The sequence below is a fragment of the Homo sapiens genome, chromosome 5 (genome assembly GCF_000001405.40).
Source record: "Homo sapiens chromosome 5, GRCh38.p14 Primary Assembly".
NCBI classification, from domain to species: Eukaryota; Metazoa; Chordata; class Mammalia; order Primates; family Hominidae; genus Homo; species Homo sapiens.
Window position 1 is genome coordinate 141,671,488 of NC_000005.10, and position 18,879 is coordinate 141,690,366.

Consider the following 18,879-nt stretch of genomic DNA (forward strand, 5'->3'; position numbering starts at 1 on the left):
CCACCCAAGTCTAGGCATTCCAACTCCAGAGAGTGTTTCCTGACCCCCCCACCCCAGATCACCCCTGCTCTGTCCCTCCTACCTGGAGAAGCTGGCTATGATCTGGGTACTGAGGGTGGGGCTTCCGGAAGAGACCCAGACGGTACTTTCGGGAGATGAACTCTCCCCGGGGGCCAGGGGTCGCATCTGGATGTAGTCCCTCACCTGGGGGTAGGGTCCCTGCCCAGAAGCGGTTGGCACGATCATTTCCCAGGACAATGAATAACTGTGGGATGACAAGGGACAAAGGCAGGTGACAGGAACTCAAGAGTCCTCAGATGTTCCATTCCTGTCCCCAGGCTGGCCCAAGGCCTGCTTCTGGACGCTCCCTTCTACGCCTCCCACCTTCTCCCTCTTCGCCCGCTCACCTGTACTATCTCATTACTCCAGACACTCGTGTCCAGCTTCAGGCTCTGCACCTTGGAGATCCCAGAACCCAGGGCCCGGTGCTGACCTGTGAGGGTGTGAGGGTGTGTGAGGGTGTGTGAGGGTGTGAGGGGCATGTGGCACGGGTACCCTGAGCCCTCTAGTCCCAGCCCTCCTGTTCCCCACATGGGCTTGAGGCCATTCCTCACCTGCACACTGCTTGCAGATGACCACCCCCAAATTGACAGCAGCCCAATCTGGGCGGGAGGACCCACAGTCCGCACACTGCCGGTTGGCCCGATTAGACCAGATCTTCTCAGCCACCTCGTAGTCAGACAGGGTCTCGGTTACTGCTTCCTGCAGAGCGGCCGCCCAGCTCTGCCGAGCACCCCCAGACTCGGCTGTGAAGCTGAGGGGTGGACAGCCAGTCCATGGGCATGGACCTACCTGCCATGTCCCATCCCCCTGGCTCTTCCTGCAGGAGCCACCACAGGCCACACCTGGGGCAGCCCAGACCCTTCTGACATCTTGACCTAGCTCACTGGACTACCATCTGTGCATACCCTCTGACGTCCTACTAAAGAGGCCTCTAGTCCTCTGCACCCTTGTGCCTCCCGCAAAAGTCCCCCAGCCTTGCCTCCCACTGGCCCAGGCCCCACCTGAAGCAGCGATGGGGTGTGAGCAGGTCAAAGCTTCGACTCTTGGTCTCCCGGACGCTGCAGCCCTGCAGTTCGATGAAGCAGATCCCGATGCCCAGAGAGAAGGCCTGGTGGGGTCAGGGGGTGGGCATCATGAGGTGCCAGAAGGGACTAGTTCAGGCCCCTCAGCCCTGGCCCGGCTCTCCTCACCTGCTCACTCTTGTACAGTGCCAGCTCTCCAGGGCTCAAGGCAGCAAACACCTTGGCCTTGTGTCCACGCAGCTCCAGCATGCCCGTGCGGAGGGGTCGGGGTGGTTGGGGGGGCCGGGGGTGGCCCAGGAGGCGCTGCTCCTTCAGACAGGACTGCAGCGTGGAGCACCACATGTCCCGCTGAGCTGGTGGGGATGGAGAAGCAGGTCAGTGGCTGTTGCTCACACAGCCTCCCTCCCTCCTGCCCTGACTCAGGGGGCTGTGGCCCTCACCCTCGCTCTCTGTGCGGAACACGAACACCCTCTGGCCGGTGATGACCTGGAACTTGTTGTCCTTGCTGCTGCGGGTCATCTCAATGGCAGTCAAAGGTATCACACCCTTAGGGAAGGGGTCCTGGAGAGAGAGAGCTCAATGACCCATGAGGACAGGAACTGAGCCATGTGTGCCAGCCCCTGGGTCCTGCCCCAGATTTTATAAGATTGGCATTAAATCCACAAGCAGTGGGTACAGCTGCTAAGCCAGCTACTTTAAATGCTGACATCAGTCATGCAGTCACTGCCCCGCCCACACACACAATGGACTTCCCTCCTTCCAATTCTGAGCCCCTCTCAGCCCTCCCTCTCCCTCATCTCCATATCGTCACATCTCCCAGCCCCCCACCTTGTCACTGCCAAAGTACATCAGACTCCTCCCATTGAACTGCACAAAGCGTCTCTGGAAGACATAGTTTCTGAGGAAGGAAGGAGCCAAGATCAGTGTTTGAGGTTGCATGGGGTTAGGGGGATCATAGGGTCTGGGGGCACTTTCCCGCGCAACCACCTCCCAGCCTCTCTTTTCTCCCTCCCTTCCCCTCCCAGCACCCACCCCTGAGGGGAGAGCTTGTCTAGCCAGCCACTGAGCAGGGGCGTGAGGCGGTCTGCCGTGAAGGAGAAGCTGGCATAGGGTGAAATGAGGTCATCACTGGTCTCCTCTGTTTCCAGGGTGGGCGATAAGAGGGTGGAGTCTCCAGGTAGCTCAAGGCTGGCATAGCCAGCATCCTCCCGTGCCTCCAGATCCTGTCTGCTGAGCCTTGTGGGGGCCAAGACAGGGAGGGACACACATTAGACAAGTACCCCGGACACCCTCTTTGTACTTTCTCCATCCTACTCACATCACCTAAGAATAGAATGCCTGGCAGGTACTGGATCTGATTTTCTTTTCTTTTTCTTTTCTTTTCTTCTTTTTTTTTTTTTTTTTTTTTGAGATGGAGCTTCGCTCTTGTTGCCCAGGCTGGAGTGCAATAGCGCAATCTCGGCTCACCACAACCTCCACCTCTCGGGTTCAAGCGATTCTCCTGCCTCAGCCTCCTGAGTAGCTGGGATTACAAGAATACGCTACCACGCCTGGCTAATTTTGTATTTTTAGTAGAGACGGGGTTTCTCCATGTTGGTCAGGCTGGTCTCGAACTCCTGACCTCAGGTGATCCACCCGCCTTGGCCTCCCAAAGTGTTGGGATTACAGGCGTGAGCCATCACGCCCAGCCTCTTTTGAGACAGGGTCTCTCTCTCTCTCTCTGCTGCCCAGGCTGAGTGCAGTGGTGCAATCATGGCTCACTGCAGTCTCAAACTTCTGGGCTCAAGGGATCCTCCCACCCTGAGTAGCTGGGACTACAGGCATGTGCTGGCCACCACACCTGGCTAATTTTTTATTTTATTTTTAGTAGAGATGAGGTCTCGCTATGTTGCCCAGGCTGGTCTCAAACTCCTGGGTTCAAGTGATCCTCCCACCTCGGCCTCCCGAATTGCTGGGGTTACAGGTGTGAGCCACTGTGCTCAGCCTGGATCTGCTTTTCAAACAGGGGAATAGGGAGGTTCAGAACCCTTAAGATTGGCATGGGGCTGCTTTCCTGAGCATACTTGGAATTTTTATTGGGAAAATTTCAGTCCATCTTCTTTGCCGTTAGTATGACTTGGATGGAAAAGACGGGGAAGGGCTGTGTAGATGGCTCCCTGTCATGGTTGCCCATGGCTAATCAATATGTCTTGACTCTTTGTCCAAAACGTTCTTGACCTCTCCCTGGACCAAGGACCAAGTTCCCATCAACTCTCACCAGGGTGATGCAAATTCCCTAACTGGCCATCTGCTTTCATTCTTGCCCTCCCTCCCACACTTATTCTCCCACAGGCACCAAAGTGTTCTTTTACAAATGCAGATGAGACCATTTTACTCCCTTGCAGGAAGCCCTTCAATAACGTCCCATTCGCACTTAGGTTAAACCCAAATTCCAATGGGCTGCAAGAACTTGTACAGTGAGGCCCGTAGGCCACTCCCCTGACTGCATCCTGTGTTGCCCTGGCCCTTGCTTATAGCCACATTCTCCTCCATGTTTCAGAGCCTTTGCACACGCTCTTCCCTCTACCTAGAACTTGCCGCCTTCCATGCTTCCCTGGGCTGCTTTTTCTCATCCTTCAGGTCTTTGCTTATGTCATCTTCTCAGAGAGGCCTCCCTTAACTAACCTGAGTAGATTCCTCTATTATTCTCTGTCACTTTCCAGGGGTTCTCAACCTCAACAGCACAAAATCACTTGGGAAACATTAAAAAATATCAGTACATGGGCTCCACACCAGACACTTAAATGTGAATCTCTGGGAGAGGGCCCAGGCACTCATAGTTTTAAAAATTCCCCAGCCTAAAAAAAATAAAATAAAAAATAAAAAAGGCTGGGCGTGGTGGCTTATACCTGTAATCCCAGCACTTTGGGAGGCCGAGTCAGGCAGATCACAAGGTCAGGAGTTCAAGACCAGCCTGGGCAATATGGTGAAACCCCGTCTCTACTAAAAATACAAAAAAAAATTAGCCAGGTGTGCTGGCGGGCGCCTGTAATTCCAGCTACTCGGGAGGCTGAGGCAAGATAATTGCTTGAACCTGGGAGGCGGAGGTTGCAGTGAGCAGAGATCGAGCCACTGTACTCCAGCCTGGGCAACAGAGCGAGACTCTGTCACAAAAAAAAAAAAATTTCCCCAGCCTATGATACAGCTAATGTTGAAAACTGCTACTGCAGCCTCTGTTTCCTACTTCACTGAGAAATTGAAGTAATCAGATAAGAACCCCCACAGACTCCCAGTGCCATGTTTACCCAATTTCACGCACATATTCTGCCTTCCTCCTGTGACTATAATAAACACTCGTGTCTAAAGCCAGACCCTCCTCTGTGCCCTTAATCCTATTCCTCTCACCTACACAATCACTTAGACATCCCTCACTCTCCTCTCCCCTACATAACTGTCCCTCCCTACCAGATCATTCCTATTCACCTACAAACCTATATAACATTGCATCCAATAAAAAACTCTTGTTGGACAGGTACGGTGGCTCACGCCTGTAATCCCAGCACTTTGGCAGGCGGATCACGAGGTCAAGAGGTCGAGACCATCCTGGCCAACATGGTGAAACCCCGTCTCTACTAAAAGTACAAAAATTAGCTGGGTGTGGTGAAGCGCACCTGTGGTCCCAGCTACTTGGGAGGCTGAGGCAGGAGAATCACTTGAACCCAGGAGGCAGAGGTTGCAATGAGCCGAGATCACACCACTGCACTCCAGCTTGGGTGACAGAGCAAGACTCCGTCTCAAAAACAACAAAAAAACTCTTTTCTTGACTCAGCTTCCTCTAGCAACAATAGTTCCAACTCTCTGCTCTTCTTTGCAGAAAAATTCCTCAAAAGACACTGTCTGTACTTTTCTATTCTCCCTTAAAACCCACTCTCATCGAGCTTTCACCCCATCACTCTGAGACTGTACTTGTCAAGATCCCCAGTGACCTCCAATTCCAAGGGTGAATTCTAAGTCCTATCATACTCAGCAGCAGACCCCTCAGCAGCGTAGGACACAGCTGGCCTCTCCCTTCTTCTTCTACATTTTCCTCACTTTGCTCCTATGACATCACATTCTCCTGGCCTTCTACTTTGCTATTTCTCTTCTGTCCGTTTTGCAGATTCTTCCGCTTCTCCCAAACCTCTAGATATGGGAGTGCACAAGGGCTTTGATCTTGGTCCTCTTCTCTATCTGCACTCACTCACAGCTCTATGCACCCATCTAAGTGCTGACAACTCTCAAGTTTAGGTCTCCAGCTCCGACCTCTCTCTAGACTCTAAGCTCGTCTACCCAGTGGTCTATTTTCACCTCTTCTTGGAGGCATAACTTACACCTCAAATTCAACACATCCAGAACTGCACTCCTAATCTACCCTCTCCTCCCAGCTGCCTGAACACAGTCTTCCCCATCTCAGACCGTGGCGGCTCCAGGAACTTTCAGGTGCTCAGGACAGTGCTATCCAGCAGAAGTTAATGCGAACCAAGTATGTAATTTTAAACTTTTCAGTAGCCACGTTTAAAAAAATTAAAAGAAACAGGTGAAATTAATTTTAATAATATATTTTATTTAACCCAATATATCCTAAACATTAACATTTTAGTATGTAATCAACATAAAAATTACTATTTTTTACTACATAAAAATTCTGTAATCAACATAAAAATATAAACATAAGATAATTTATGTTTATATTTGTTATATTCATCCAGTATTGCTTTTTCTCATATTAAGTCTTTGAAATCTAGCAGGTGTTTTACATTTATTGTGCATCTCAAAGGATACTAGCCGCATTTCATAGGCCCAGTAGTCACATGTGGCTAATGGCTACCATACTGGTCAGCACCAGCTCAGATGGAAGCCCTCAAAGTCATTCTTGACTGCTCTTTTTTTCTCACATCCCAAGTTAATCTGACAGTTTGCCTTCAAAATAAAGCCACTTCTCATCATCTCCACTACTATCACTACACTCTGAGGTCTCTCACCTACATTACTACAAAAACCTCCCCACTGGTCTCTCTGCTTCTCCTTTGGCCCCCTACAGACCACTCCCAACATAGCAACCAGGGGGATCCCTTTATAAAGTCAAAACCCCTCAATGGCTTCCCATTTCACTTAGAGTAAAAGCCAAAGTCCCTTATCTGGCCCCTTGTTTTTGTTTTTTTGGTTTTGTTTTGTTTTTTGTTTTTGTTTTTTTTGTTTTTGTTTTTGTTTTGAGACAGGGTCTCACTCGGTTGTCCAGGATGGAGGGCAGTGGCATGATCTTGACTTGCTGCAACCTCCGCCTCCCGGGTTCAAGTGATTCTCCTGCCTCAGCCTCCCTAGTAGCTGGGACTACAGGTGTGCGCCACCACCCCCAGCTATTTTTTTTTTTTTTTGAGACGGAGTCCTGCTTTGTTGCCCAGGCTGGAGTGCAGCGGCACAACCTTTGCTCACTGCAAGCTCCGCCTCCCGGGTTCACGCCATTCTCTGCCTCAGCCTCCTGAGTAGCTGGGACTACAGGCGCCCACCACCACGCCCGGCTATATTTTTTTTGTATTTTTAGTAGACACGAGGTTTCACCATGTTGACTAGGCTGCTCTCAAACTCCTGAACTCAGGTGGTCCGCCAACCTTGGCCTCCCAAAGTGCTGGGATTACAGGCATGAGCCACTGTGCCTGACCCTTATCTGGCCTCTTTTACCTCTCTGACTTCATCTCCTGCCATTCCTCCCACCGTGGCTCACCTGCCCCAGCCAAGATGGCCTGGCCTCCTCACTGCTCCTGGATCCCTTTGGGCACACACCCGCCTTGAGGCCTCTGTTCCAATCACTTGCCCTACCGGGGCACTCTTCCCCAGTTATCTTCATGGCTAACTCCTTCACCTCCTTCAAGTTTTTGATCAAATGTCATCTTCTTAACGCTCCGCTAACTGTAAATGAAAAATTGCAGTCCACCCATTTTGCCCCCAAGCCCTCTTTTTTTTTTTCTTAGTCACTGCTACCTCCACCTCTCCGGTTCAAGCAATTCTCCTTCCTCAGCCTCCTAACTAGCTGGGATTATAGGCGTCCACCACCGCACCTGGCTAATTTTTGTATTTTTAGTAGAGACGGAGTTTCATCCTGTTGGCCAGGCTGGTCTCAAACTCCTGACCTCAGGTGATCCGTCTGCCTCAGCCTCCCAAAGTGCTGGGATTACAGGTGTGAGCCACCATGCCCGGCCAACCCCCCAGCCCTCTTACTCTGCTCTATTTTTTCCATGGCACTTAATACCTTTTAACGTTCTATAGTATTTAATGTATTATGTTTATTGTTAATAGACTATCTCCCCACAAGGGCAGGGATTTCTGTGTACGCTGATCTATCCCAAGCATCTACATCCGGTGCATGATAGTTGCTCAATAAATATTTGTTGAATGAAAAAATGAAAAGCACTTCTCCTGGTTGGGCACAGTGGCTCATGCCTGTAATCCCAGCACTTTGGGAGGCCAAGGAGGTAGGATCACCTGAGGTCAGGAGTTCGAGACCAGCCTGGCCAACATGGCGAAACCCCATCTCTACTAAAAATATAAAAATTAGCCGGGCATGGTGGCACGCACCTGTAATCCCAGCTACTCGGGAGCCTGAGACAGGAGAATCGCTTGAACCCAGGAGGGGGAGGTTGCAGTGAGCCGAGATTGTGCCACTGCACTCCAATCTGGGCAACAAGGCAAGACTCCGTCTCAAAAAGAAAGAAAGAAAGAAAAGCACTTCTCCCAATTTTCCATTATATGACCATTGGTTTGTCTACTTGTTTTATTCCCTGTCTGTCCCACTGAGTCACAAGCTGCCTGAGGGTGGCACTAGGTCTGTGATACTCATCCTGTATCTTGAGTGCCTGGCTGGTGAATACTCAATGCACATTTGTTGAATAACTGGATACATGGCCGCCACCGACTCACCTGCTCCTCCCTCCCACCACTTCCCTATTTAGTACTCACCTGTGTTCAGCCCTGCCCTGACAAACACCTCTGCTCTCTCTTCTGTCGGGGGCTCCTGGAGTCCCCACAGGTTGGACACCATAGTACAGGCAACCAGGATCCATGATGTGCACTGGCAGGAGGAGAGGGGAACGCACAAGGAAGAGGAGATCGCTGGGAGTGTATGAGGTCCTGCCGGCACTATCCCTCTCCCCCAACCCGTGATAACCCAGTTACCTGTGCCTGTTGTGGGCCTGAGGGCAGGGGTGGGGGCAGAGATTTGGGAGCTGTCTGGGGCCCTGAAGGGAAAGGTCTATTGGTTACTTAAGGAGAGAGGAGGAAGAACAAGCCTTCATGCCCTGCTCCCCGCCTCCGTCCCCCTCATGCTCTCCTCCCCACTCCTCCCAGCATCAGTCCCTAGGGAGCCAACTCCACTCACTTGTCCTGAGCTGCCTGTGCCCTGCCTCTTGAGTCCAGGCCGAAGTAGATGGAATTAGGCATCATCTCCACAGTATTTAGGGCTGAAGACTGCTCAGAGGAGGAAGTGGGGAGAGGAGGAGGCCTTGGGCTGGGCTCTGGGCTCCTGGACACTCCTGGTCCCCCGAGGGCTGGGCTCAGCCCAGGTCTCTGAGTGGTGGCAGGGCCACTGAGTCCACCAAACACGGTCCTGGGCTTCGGCACGGGCTTAGGGGGCTGGGCTTGCGGGGCTGGGCTGGGGGATGGTTCCATGGCACTATCTGATTTGGGATCCAGGGAGCCCTCTTCGGTGCCTGTCTGTAGCAGGCGTAGAATGCGTTTCCGGTGCCCTGTGGCGCTGATGCCCAACTGCTTCAACTCCTCGTGGCCCAGGCCCCGGGCTGCACCTGCTGTAGCCAGGCCATGCCGTCGGAACGTGTCTGCATACTGCTCCAGGTGCACCGTGGCCAGCCACACAGCGATGTCCAGGTCCTGAGGGGCAGCCATGGGGGCTCAGGCCATTGCTGGGGGGAGGGGCAGGGTGAAGGGAGGGCTCAGGCTGAGAATCCCCCTCTCTGCCCCAGAGTCTGAGGCCTGGACAGTGAGCACCAGCCTCCAATCTTCCTCCAAAGAAAGATGCTGAAAGGCCTGCGATCTGGAAGCAGAGCCATCCCAGAACAACAGCAATGGCTCTCTACTTAGGGAAGGGACTTCATTTGAAGTTAAGGAAACTGAGGCCCAGAGAGGGGAAGGGGCTTGCCCCAGGTTCACAGTAAGTCAGTGCTAGAGTTGGCCCCTCAGTTCCTGCCCACCCTGGGTCTGGGTCAAAGCTCTGCTCCTGCCTGACTGCACATCCAACTGAGTAAGCATGGGACAAGATGCTAGAATGCTGTGGGTCAGAGTGGGATAGGGAGATGCAGAGGAGGGGCCAATGATGTGGCCAATCAGCTCTGGAGTAAGGTAGGGAGAGGGGCAGCCTAGATAGGAGGAAGGAGGTGCAGACGCCCCCTCCCTCTTGTTTCCAGAGCCGATGTATGCAGGCCTGCCGTCCTAATCCTGGTTGTTCCCAGTCCCTCCTCCCCTTCCACCTATTGTCTCTGCTCAGACTTCCTTCCTGTCCCTCCAGCCCTGGCCGCCTCCACATCCTGCCTGCTTTGGTCAGGCTGCCGGGAGAGCCCTAACCAGTCCTAATGTGTGGGGTCCCGGCCCTGGGTGGAGGCTAATTGAAGAATAAGGATGGGGATGCCAGAGAGATGAGGCCTGACCTCTGGTCAGGGGTACTCCAGAGGCTTCTGGACTCTCTGCCCACCGGCAGCATGTTCACATGCTGTTCACCTGTGTGTGCACATGCCCTGTAGCGATTTGGCAGTGTGAAATGCCATCCCCCCACCTCTGCTTTCTCCAAGCCTTCCTTTTCTGAGCTTGCCTTTTCCCTGCTCATTCCCTTGGGCTCAGGTCTCTGTGCTCTGTCCCCCTTCCACCAGCCTGACCCCGACCCTGACCCTGGTCTATTTCATAGACCTGTCTCTAATTCTGTGGCCCCTGAGTTTTATCTCTGCCTTGTCACTGTCCCTGCCCCATTCCATCTCAACCTCTCAATTCTTCTTTGTCCCTCTCCTTGTCCCACCCTGTTTTGCTCTCTGTTATTAAGCTTGTCCTTGACTCAGTCTACAATTCTAACCAGATCTTGAGTTGTATCTGTGTCTCTGTCTGCCTCTGAGCCTGGGTTTCTGTCTTCCGCCTCGGCCTAGGCTCTCTCCCTGTTACTCTTGTGCTCTGTCGGTGACCAGGACGCCCTCTCCGTCCCAGCATCACTGCTGGCCTCCCTCTGCCTCTCTCCAGCTGGGCCTCATTCCCAAGCCAGGGCCCGCGTGCTGAGCCTCGGGCCCTGACTCAGGGCCCGGTTTCCCGGTGACTCAGGCCGGGCTCGACAGCACGGGGCTGGGAGCTGAGGTGCTCGCGGGACAGGAGTGGCGGGGGCGGGGCGGGCAGTGGCGGGCAGCGCAGGCTGCGACGAGGGAGGGGGCGAGGAGGGATGGGGCAGAGGCCGGGCAGCAGGAGGGAGGGGCGGGTCGTGGCAGGGATGGGGAGGGCCGCCGGCGCCGAGGGGGCCTGGGAGCCCACGAAGGCCCTCGAGAAGGTGATGGGGAGGAGTCTGGGAAGCAGGGACCCGGGGGGCGCGGGGGTCCTCACCTCACTACGCGGCCGCCGTCCGCTCGCGGGTGCCCGCCGCTCGTCCGAGGTTCTGGGTCCCGCCGCGCCGGCCCCGCCTCCCCTCTGCCCTCCCTCGACGGGCCCAGCCCCGCCCCGCCCGGCCGGTTCCCTCCGCGGGGCCCCGGCCACTCCTTGTGCAAGCGCAGGCCTCCAAAGGGTTTGGGCTTCTTGCCCAACCGCCGCGCTTATCTCCGAGTCTGCCCCCAGTCTGCCCTCTCGCAGGCCGAGAAAGGACCAGAACACGTTGGGACGAAGACAACCTCAGGGAGAGGGACAAAGAGGCAGAGACCGGGACGGAGACTGGGACGGAGGTAGAAACTGAGAAAGGGAGAGTGCCAGGGACGGCTTTGCATCCTCTCCGCTGCTCCCATGCCCTCCAGTCCTGCCAAAAGGGAGGAGGAAAGGTCGAGCCCTAATCCCCCAGGGCACCTCTCCCACGCCCGGAAGGGTGGCTGGACCCTGGCAACCAGTTTAGTGTGGGGACGGAAGCTGGACATCCAGAATTGAGACTTGGCCTGGGCAACAAGCGCAGAGGCCCAGCAGAGGGGTACCCGTCTGTTTCTCCCCACTTCCATCCCCAAGGGCCCGGCCTAGGTTCCTTCGAGGGATGAAGGTCCGCAAGGCACATCCCTACTTCCAAACCAAGGTTTGGGGCTGCCTTTTTGGGACAGGCGGACGCCCTGCAAGCTCAGTGACCAAGCAAGCAGCTGTTTCATTCATGGGAGAAGCCGCCCCTTCTCCCCAACTCCCACCCTAAAATTTCAGGGGGGATGCCGGGGAGGCCTGAAGAGGAATGGCCCTTCTCTCCTTCGCTAATCTTGCCGGAACCCCGGTCCTGGAGCCTGTCTCCCAGGGGCGGAGGCACTTCCCTCTCTGAGCAGGACCAGTGTTTGGGTGTGGGGGGGGGGTGTTTGTGTGTGTGTGTGTGTGTGTGTGTGTGTGTGTGTGTGTGTGTGTGTGTGTGTATGTGTTGGGGGTGGCGGGGGCGCTGGCCGGCTGTGTTTTCCTGTTTGTATGAGAGGAAGTTGGCTGTGAGTCAGCAGACACAGGAACTGTCAGTAGCTAGGGGAAGACCCCTGCCTCAGGGGAAGAAGAGGGGAGTGGGAGGAAGTGGTTCCCACCTCTTCCAGCTGCCTCAGCTAGGGGAGGGACTGTCATCTTCAACCTACTGGAGCCCCACTTTCCCGGCCTTCCCTTTGAGAAAGAGAATTATAGTAATAAAATAATAATTGCAATAGCCATAATAAGGGCTACCAATTATTGAGAGCTGACCGTGCTCCAGGATCTATGTAAACATTGCTTTGCAAACTTTAATCCTCACAAATATCCCTACAAATAGGAAATTTTATCACCTCTATTTTACATATAAGGAGACAGGGAGCATTAAATAACTTGCTCAAGACTCTGCAGCTAGAAAATAGCCAACCCTCCAAGTCTATATCTATAACTACCATGCTCACCTACCACCCTGGACAGGACCCCTGCACCATGTCCTTTTTTTCAGATGGGCAACTGTGGTGGCAGTGAGAATGCTCCTCACAGATCTTACACTGTGAGGAGTGAAATTAACCAATGGCCCCAGCTGCTTCTCTCTGAAATCTAAGGCCAGCTTCCCACTGGGCTGCTCCCAGCCAGTGACAGAGCTCAGCAGAGATCTAAGGCAGACCCATTCCTGGGAGATAGGGGACTCCTTTGACAGCTGACTTTGGATCAAGATTTCCCAATGGCTTTGCTGAACTTTCCTTTGACTGGTGTTTTAGGATGCTCCTCTCAACCTTTATTCCTTCCCTCTCTCCTTCACAGCTCTCCTAGCTCCAGGCTCCCTTCCTCTCTCACAGGCATCTCCCCTAGTCAAATCCTTGCATTCTGCCTTGGCAGCTTCTTCTTTAAGGACTCAGACTAACCCAGCAAAATAAGGGAGCAGGAAAAGACAGTAAAGGGCACAGGGAGTTTTGAGGAATGGATGCCGGGGAGTTTGGGTCAGGGGCTAGATGCAAGAGTTCTGAACCTTTTTGTGCCATGTTCTCCTTTGGCAATACGGTAAAGTATGTGGTCTCATCTCAGAATAATATTTTAAAATGCATAAAATAAAATATATAGGATTGCAAAGGAAACCAATTATGTTGTAATACACATATAAAACCGATGTGATATAGTAATATATGTGCTTCTTTATTAATGCTTTAAATAAGATCTAGTGGTAGGTTGATACCTCACATAACTTTGATGCAGTGATGAGCATAAATGGTATTTCAAAAGATCTGCAATATTGTAATATGATATAAAAATATATGTGATTTCTACTGGTGACAAAGCCATAGTTATGGCTAAAATGACTGGTTTGTTGCTATTGTCATAATTGGAGGAAATGTTAAATTTCAGCTAGAGATTAGTGAAAGTAATATTCTTTTCCCATCCAAGTCCACTGACTCCAAGTTAAGGACACCAATGCCAGATGATGGGGCAGAGCCACAGAGAGGGAGACCTGGCTTCCTCCCTCAGACCCCACTTCCCTTCTTTGGCTCAATGATATGGGGCAGGTGGAGGCTTCTGGCCCCTGGCTTGTGTCTTCCTGAGTTCAAGCAATTCTCGTGCCTCAGCCTTGTGCCTCAGCCTCCCGAGTAGCTGGGATTACAGGTGCCTGCCACTACACCCAGCTAATTTTTGTATTTTAGTAGAGACAGGGTTTCACCATGTTGGCCAGGCTGGTCTCAAACTCCTGTCAGGTGATCCATCCACCTCAGCCTCCCAAAGTGCTGGGATTACAGGCGTGAGCCACCATGCCCGGCCGAAATTAGTAAATCTTAAATCTTAATCTTAACACATAGGACAAAAGGGACACTAGTGAGCAGAGGAAGAGGAAGAATGAAGCAATGAGGAGATGTGGAAGGGAATTCTTCAATAGCCCCTTCCATGTCTCGATTTGTTCCCCACTCAAATGATAGACTATTAAGCCACAATCACTTTGGAGGCCACTTTGTTCACCAAAAGTGGATGGTATGCAGTAATTAAGAACAAGGTCTCTCGGCTAGGCACTGTGGCTCACACCTGTAATCCCAGCATTTTGGGAGGCCAAGGCAGGAGGATTGTTTGAGAGCAGGAGTTTGAGGCCAGCCTGGGCAACATAGCAAGACCTCGTCTCTACTAAAAATTTTAAAATTAGCCAAGTGTGGTAGTGTGCACCTGTAGTCCCAGCTACTCAGGAGGTGGAGGTGGGAGGATTGCTTGAGCCAGGAGGTGGAGATTGCAGTGAGCCGAGATCGTACCACTGCACTCCAGCTTGGGTGACAGTGAGGCCTGTCTCTAAAAACAAAACAAAACACCACCACCAACAACAACAAAAACTAAAACAAAAGGTCAACAAAAAAACAGTCTCTAAAATAAAGCCCTGATGCCACCTCTACCAGCTGTGACCTGAGCAGATTATTCATCTCTATTTTGCCCTGTGTGCCTCAGTTTCCTTTTCTGAAAAAAGGAGAGAGAATAGTGCCTGACAGGGTTGTAAAGATTAATCTATGGAAATATATGGGTAATATGTGGAAAGGACCTGACATTCAATGAGTGCTCAAAGTGTTTCCTGTTCCTTGTTCCTATTTTTGCCAGTTACTTCCATGATAACTCTGGTATGCACCCAGCTTGCCTGTTTCTTCATCACTCTGGCATATCCCGTTACCTATTTTAATCAATCAGCCTGTGGCATCCTATTGCCAAATTAGACCACATTGTACCCCTTGTATTTTCCCCAGGGTCCCCAGTTGTCATCTTGTCTGTTCCATCACTTTTGTAACTCAATTTCCTGTCACCCCTGCAACTCCTGATCGCCTCCATGGTCTCCAGTGGCCTCCAGGTCACACTCCTTTCCTGCCCTTACCCTCTGGATGGTAAAAGGCACAGCCATCACCCACATTTGGTCCTGATGAGATGGGACAGGGCCTAGGGGGATGCCAAGGTGCAAGTTTCTTTTTATTTATTTATTTTTTTGAGACAGAGTCTCCCTCTGTCGCCCAGGTTGGAGTGGAGTGGTGCGATCTCGTATGACTGTAGACTCCGCCTCCCAGATTCAAGCGATTCTCCTGCCTCAGCCTCCCTAGTAGCTGGGATTACAGGCGCCCACCACCACATCCGGCTAATTTTTGTGGTTTTTTTTAGTAGAGACGCAGTTTCACCATGTTGGCGGGGCTGGTCTTGAACTCCTGACCTCAGGTGATCCGCCTGCCTTGGCCTCCCAAAGTGCTGGGATTACAGGCGTGAGCCACTGCGCCCGGCCGAGCATGTTTCTTACAGGAAGGAAGACTCCCATTCAATCCTTTCATTTATTTCTCATGTTTTTATTAATCATCTTTTCTGGACCAACCACTGCTCAAGGGTTTAGAGATGCAATGACGTGCTCAGCAGACTTTAGGGAACATGACCTGCTCAAGAAGTGAGACATTTATCAAACAACCCCCAAATAAATGTGTAATTACAAACCAAGATGAATTTTCTGAAGGGAAGCACTGTAAGAGCATATAACAGAGGCAGCTGACCTGGCCTGGGGGTCTGGGAGGCTTCTGCAGGGAGCTCTGCTTAAGTTGAGATCTCAGAAAGATGGGTAGGAGTTAAGCGGGATGGGAGGGAGTGTTCTAGGCAGAAGAACCACGAGTGCAAAGGCCCTGAGGTAGGAGTCAGCCTGGTGAGGAAGGGAGACAGATCAAAGAGACAGGGAGTTTGGGACCAGCTGAGACTGAAAGGATCTCAGGGGCCAGGCCATGCAGGCCCTTGGAGGGCTTGTATGAGATTTGGTCTCCATGCCAGGAGCCATGGGGAGCCAGGGAAGAGTTTAAGCATGGGGCAATAGACTCATGAATTTAGGTTTGAATTTTAGGAAGATGGCTGCATGGAGACTGGTTAGGGTCAGCACAGCCCTCCCTACCCCTAATTCCTCTGGCCTGAGGGCTGTGCCATTTCCCCCTAGACTCCAGAGCTACCCTCCAGGGAGCCCCTTCCCACTTCCCTCCTCACATTTTTGTGAGGATGAAGTCATCATTGAGGAGAGGAGGGAGTTCCAGGCCTCTACGCCTTCTTTATCCTGGAGAACTGGGGCAGCCCTGGGGTCAGGGGGAGGGAAGGAACAAACACAGAACACCTCCCTTCCCCTGCATCCTCATTCCCATGACTGGGCCCTGTCTCCTTCCACCCTAGGCTATTGACATGAGCTGTATTTACAAGATTTTTAATGCAATTTTACTGCAAAATGTTTTATAAAGGGTATCTAGTACTACAGCTAGTACTAACTCCCCTTAGGGCTTGGGGCAAGTCATCTCTCTTTGGGTCTCAGTTTCTCTATACATAAAATTAATGGCAGTGCTGTTTGATAGAATTTCCTGCAATGATGGACCGTGTTCTCTATTTGTGCTGTCCAGTATGGCAGCCGGTAGCCACATGTGGCCATTGAGAGGTTGAAATGAGGTTGGTGAGCCAGAAGAGCTGAATATTTAATTTAATTTAATTGTAATTAATTTAAATTTAAACAACCACTGGCTGCCAATATTGGACAGCACAGGCAAATCTTAAACTTTTTTGAGACTCTGGTGACAGTTATGGATCTCTCCCTAGAAAAACACCCTGCACCCAACTCTCAAAGACGAGGGCCCTTCCAATCCTATTTATGCATCCCAGGCAAAGCAGACTGTAGACTGCTGGGGCTCAGGTCCCTCATCTCCTCTTCCCTTCCTGCTGCCTTGAAAATGCTGAAATAGGGCTTTGCCTAGAGGCAGGAGAATGACAAGGATGACTCCAGGAATTAGCAGACCTTTGTTTAAAGCTTCTGGTGCACCACTGCACACATCTAAAGAAAGACAGAAGAGTGAAAGCAGGGGTAGGTGCAAGGAGAGTATTAGGGATATTTGGACATGCTCAGTCTCTGCCCTACCTCCCTGCAAACCACCAAATTGCTGCTGGGCCAGTCCTTTTTTGGACACAAAACTCCATCGGAGTGTGAGGCTGTACTCCAGATATGGGGTTGTGCCCTGGGCATGCAGTATTTATGAACTGGGGCTTTGGGAGTGACCAGAGGGGGTGGGGGGGGGGGCTATCTTAGTCCATTTGCATTGCTGTAACAAAATACCGGATACTGGGTTATTTATTTATTTATTTTTTATTTATTTACTTTTTGAGACAGTCTCACTCTGTCGTCCAGGCCGGAGTGCAGTGGCACTATCTGAGTTCATTGCAACCTCCGCTTCCCAGGTTCAAGTGATTTTCCTGCCTCAGCCTCCCAAGTAGTTGGGATTATAGGCATGTGCCACCATGTTTTGCTAATTTTGTGTTTTTAGTAAGGACGGGGTTTCACCATGTTGGCCAGGCTGGCCTCGAACTCGTGACCTCCGCCAAAGTGCTGGGATTACAGGTGTGAGCCACCGTGCCCAGCCAACCGTTTACTCACTCTTGATGTTTTCACTGTCCAGAGCATCTGTGGGTCAGACACTGCCCCCACCCAGGAATATGGAGCCCTGAAGGTGTCAGGAGAATGCACTCCCTGCCTTGCATGGATGCAGTTGTCTACTCCTTGGGAGAAAGATAATATTTTTCTCCCTTCTCACTTCTAGGATCTAATCACTCTCTCCCAGAAAACTCACTGCACAGACCCATTTACAGGGGGCAGTTTTCACTGGGACTTAACTTCCTACCCTCTGATCTCCCCACTCGATTTCTTGACCATGCCTGCCCCTCCCTCATTGCTCAGATGTCCATCTATACTTTCTCTCCCATCTGGAAAGTAGTTGCTTGGTTCCTGTCCCCCGGGGTCTCCATTTCTTTGGCTTCAGCAGAGATGCTGGACTGGTTAAACTCAGGCTCCAGTGGTGACCACAGTGTGGGACACAGACGGGGAAACAGCTTTCAGGAATCCCTTTGTCTTAGGTCTTTGAGAAGCAGAGCCTGTGGTCAGGATTCAGGTGGAAGCCCTGAGCTGAGGGAGAGGAAATGGAGGATGCAAGGTGAGACAGTGCGGTGCCTTCCTGTCCTGCCCTGCTTCACACAAGCCCCTCAGAGACACTGCTGGCTACTCAGCAGGGGTGCTCTCTCTCGGCACGTGGGTGGGACTTCTCCAGAAGGTAAGGAGGAAATCCACCTTGGAGCAGTCCTCAGCTCCCACCCATGACCTGTCTCCCATGGGTCAAGGTTCACCCCACAGAGTCACCTTCCCATGCTTCTGGGTTCTGTTACCCAGCCCTTGGTGGCACTTGGAAACCAGGTTCCACACTGTACAGTGTGGCATTTTATCTAAGTCTGAAAGTAGAGGAGGAGGTAGTGAAGGAATTTGAGAAGAAAGGTTCATGTCTCAGGGCAGCCCATTTCTCATGCCACTGAGATCCACTCAAGTCCTCCCATTATACCTGACTTCTATGCCACCCTACAGGGCATTTTCCCCCACAGGGACAAAGTTGCCCTCACTCTTTCCTCATGAGGGAAAGTACAGTCCACTGGAATCAAGTCCCCTTCCAGAAAATGCCAGATGTGGTCTTAAGGAAGATAAAGAGGAGAGGGCTAATGAAGCAAGCTACAGTCCCACTGCTGTAGCGTGTCTTGAGTCCATAATTGATATTCTCTCCCTCCTTCCGTGACCCTCCGCTAGCCCTCTGCAGATCTGGGCTACTTGCCTGATGAGATTATACAGACGTTCATCCCCAAGAGATCTGATGCCTTTGTTGCCCTGTCCTTTTAGAATTGTTGTTGAAGTTGTCCATTGGCAATTACTACCGGGTGGGAAGTTCCAAGAGATGCCACAGCGAATCCCCTGGCTGGGGCCAGACTCCCCGCCTTCATTGCATCTATGCACATTGTATCTACAGCCCTGGTTCCTCATGGCCATCAGGATCAATGGCCCTGGCCAGCACATTAATGCCCTTCTTTGTCTATTAGCCCACTAGAATGAGGAGCATAAGGTGGCCACGTGGCTGTCACAGCTTCCAGTTTAGTGGAAACTACTGTGTTCTTTCATATAAGTTCTCCCTTCCTGGCAACTAGAAACTCGAATTGGCAGAGCCACCAGTTTTGGGGACAGAAAGCAAATATTCTACAAATGTGAATGAGATGGGCCACGTCCACTTCCACATTTGACTCCAGGACTGGCAATTTCTATGTATAAGGAACATAGTACTGGTCAAAACAAATACCGCATCAAGGAGTTGAG

The 18,879-nt window shown here is 51.8% G+C and overlaps 1 protein-coding gene across 19 annotated transcripts in view, besides 3 other annotated features; it reads right to left on the reverse strand.

Moving 5' to 3' along the window:
• Positions 1 to 10,743, reverse strand: part of ARAP3 (ArfGAP with RhoGAP domain, ankyrin repeat and PH domain 3) — a 28,829-nt gene extending 18,086 nt beyond the window's left edge. For 11 of the 19 annotated variants that reach the window (XR_007058626.1, XR_007058625.1, XR_007058624.1 and 8 more), the window contains exons 1-11: positions 8,476 to 9,372; positions 8,274 to 8,335; positions 8,058 to 8,169; positions 2,118 to 2,321; positions 1,914 to 1,983; positions 1,526 to 1,646; positions 1,254 to 1,438; positions 1,065 to 1,171; positions 615 to 814; positions 408 to 493; positions 83 to 265 (exon numbers count right to left, since the gene is read on the reverse strand). Coding sequence is in view for 16 of the 19 variants with exons in the window: in XM_047417509.1 (XP_047273465.1) it covers positions 83 to 265; positions 408 to 493; positions 615 to 814; positions 1,065 to 1,171; positions 1,254 to 1,438; positions 1,526 to 1,646; positions 1,914 to 1,983; positions 2,118 to 2,321; positions 8,058 to 8,169; positions 8,274 to 8,335; positions 8,476 to 8,999 (1,854 nt within the window). In the remaining 3 variants the exon portion in view is untranslated. Of the gene's footprint in view, positions 1 to 82; positions 266 to 407; positions 494 to 614; positions 815 to 1,064; positions 1,172 to 1,253; positions 1,439 to 1,525; positions 1,647 to 1,913; positions 1,984 to 2,117; positions 2,322 to 8,057; positions 8,170 to 8,273; positions 8,336 to 8,475; positions 9,373 to 10,685 lie in introns of those variants that run through there. The other 8 variants (XM_047417514.1, XM_047417513.1, XM_047417512.1 and 5 more) reach the window with 3 other exon arrangements.
• Positions 2,705 to 3,372: an enhancer, noted in NCBI's record as "OCT4-NANOG-H3K27ac-H3K4me1 hESC enhancer chr5:141053759-141054426 (GRCh37/hg19 assembly coordinates)". NCBI's record gives its function as "activates a minimal SCP1, AML or CMV promoter by ChIP-STARR-seq in naive H9 embryonic stem cells {active_cell/tissue: H9 hESC(naive)}" and the evidence as "EXISTENCE:reporter gene assay evidence [ECO:0000049][PMID:30033119]".
• Positions 3,373 to 4,041: an enhancer, noted in NCBI's record as "OCT4-NANOG-H3K27ac-H3K4me1 hESC enhancer chr5:141054427-141055095 (GRCh37/hg19 assembly coordinates)". NCBI's record gives its function as "activates a minimal SCP1, AML or CMV promoter by ChIP-STARR-seq in naive and primed H9 embryonic stem cells {active_cell/tissue: H9 hESC(naive and primed)}" and the evidence as "EXISTENCE:reporter gene assay evidence [ECO:0000049][PMID:30033119]".
• Positions 10,743 to 10,792: a silencer, noted in NCBI's record as "silent region_16460". NCBI's record gives its function as "represses an Ori minimal core promoter by ATAC-STARR-seq in GM12878 lymphoblastoid cells {active_cell/tissue: GM12878}" and the evidence as "EXISTENCE:reporter gene assay evidence [ECO:0000049][PMID:35858748]".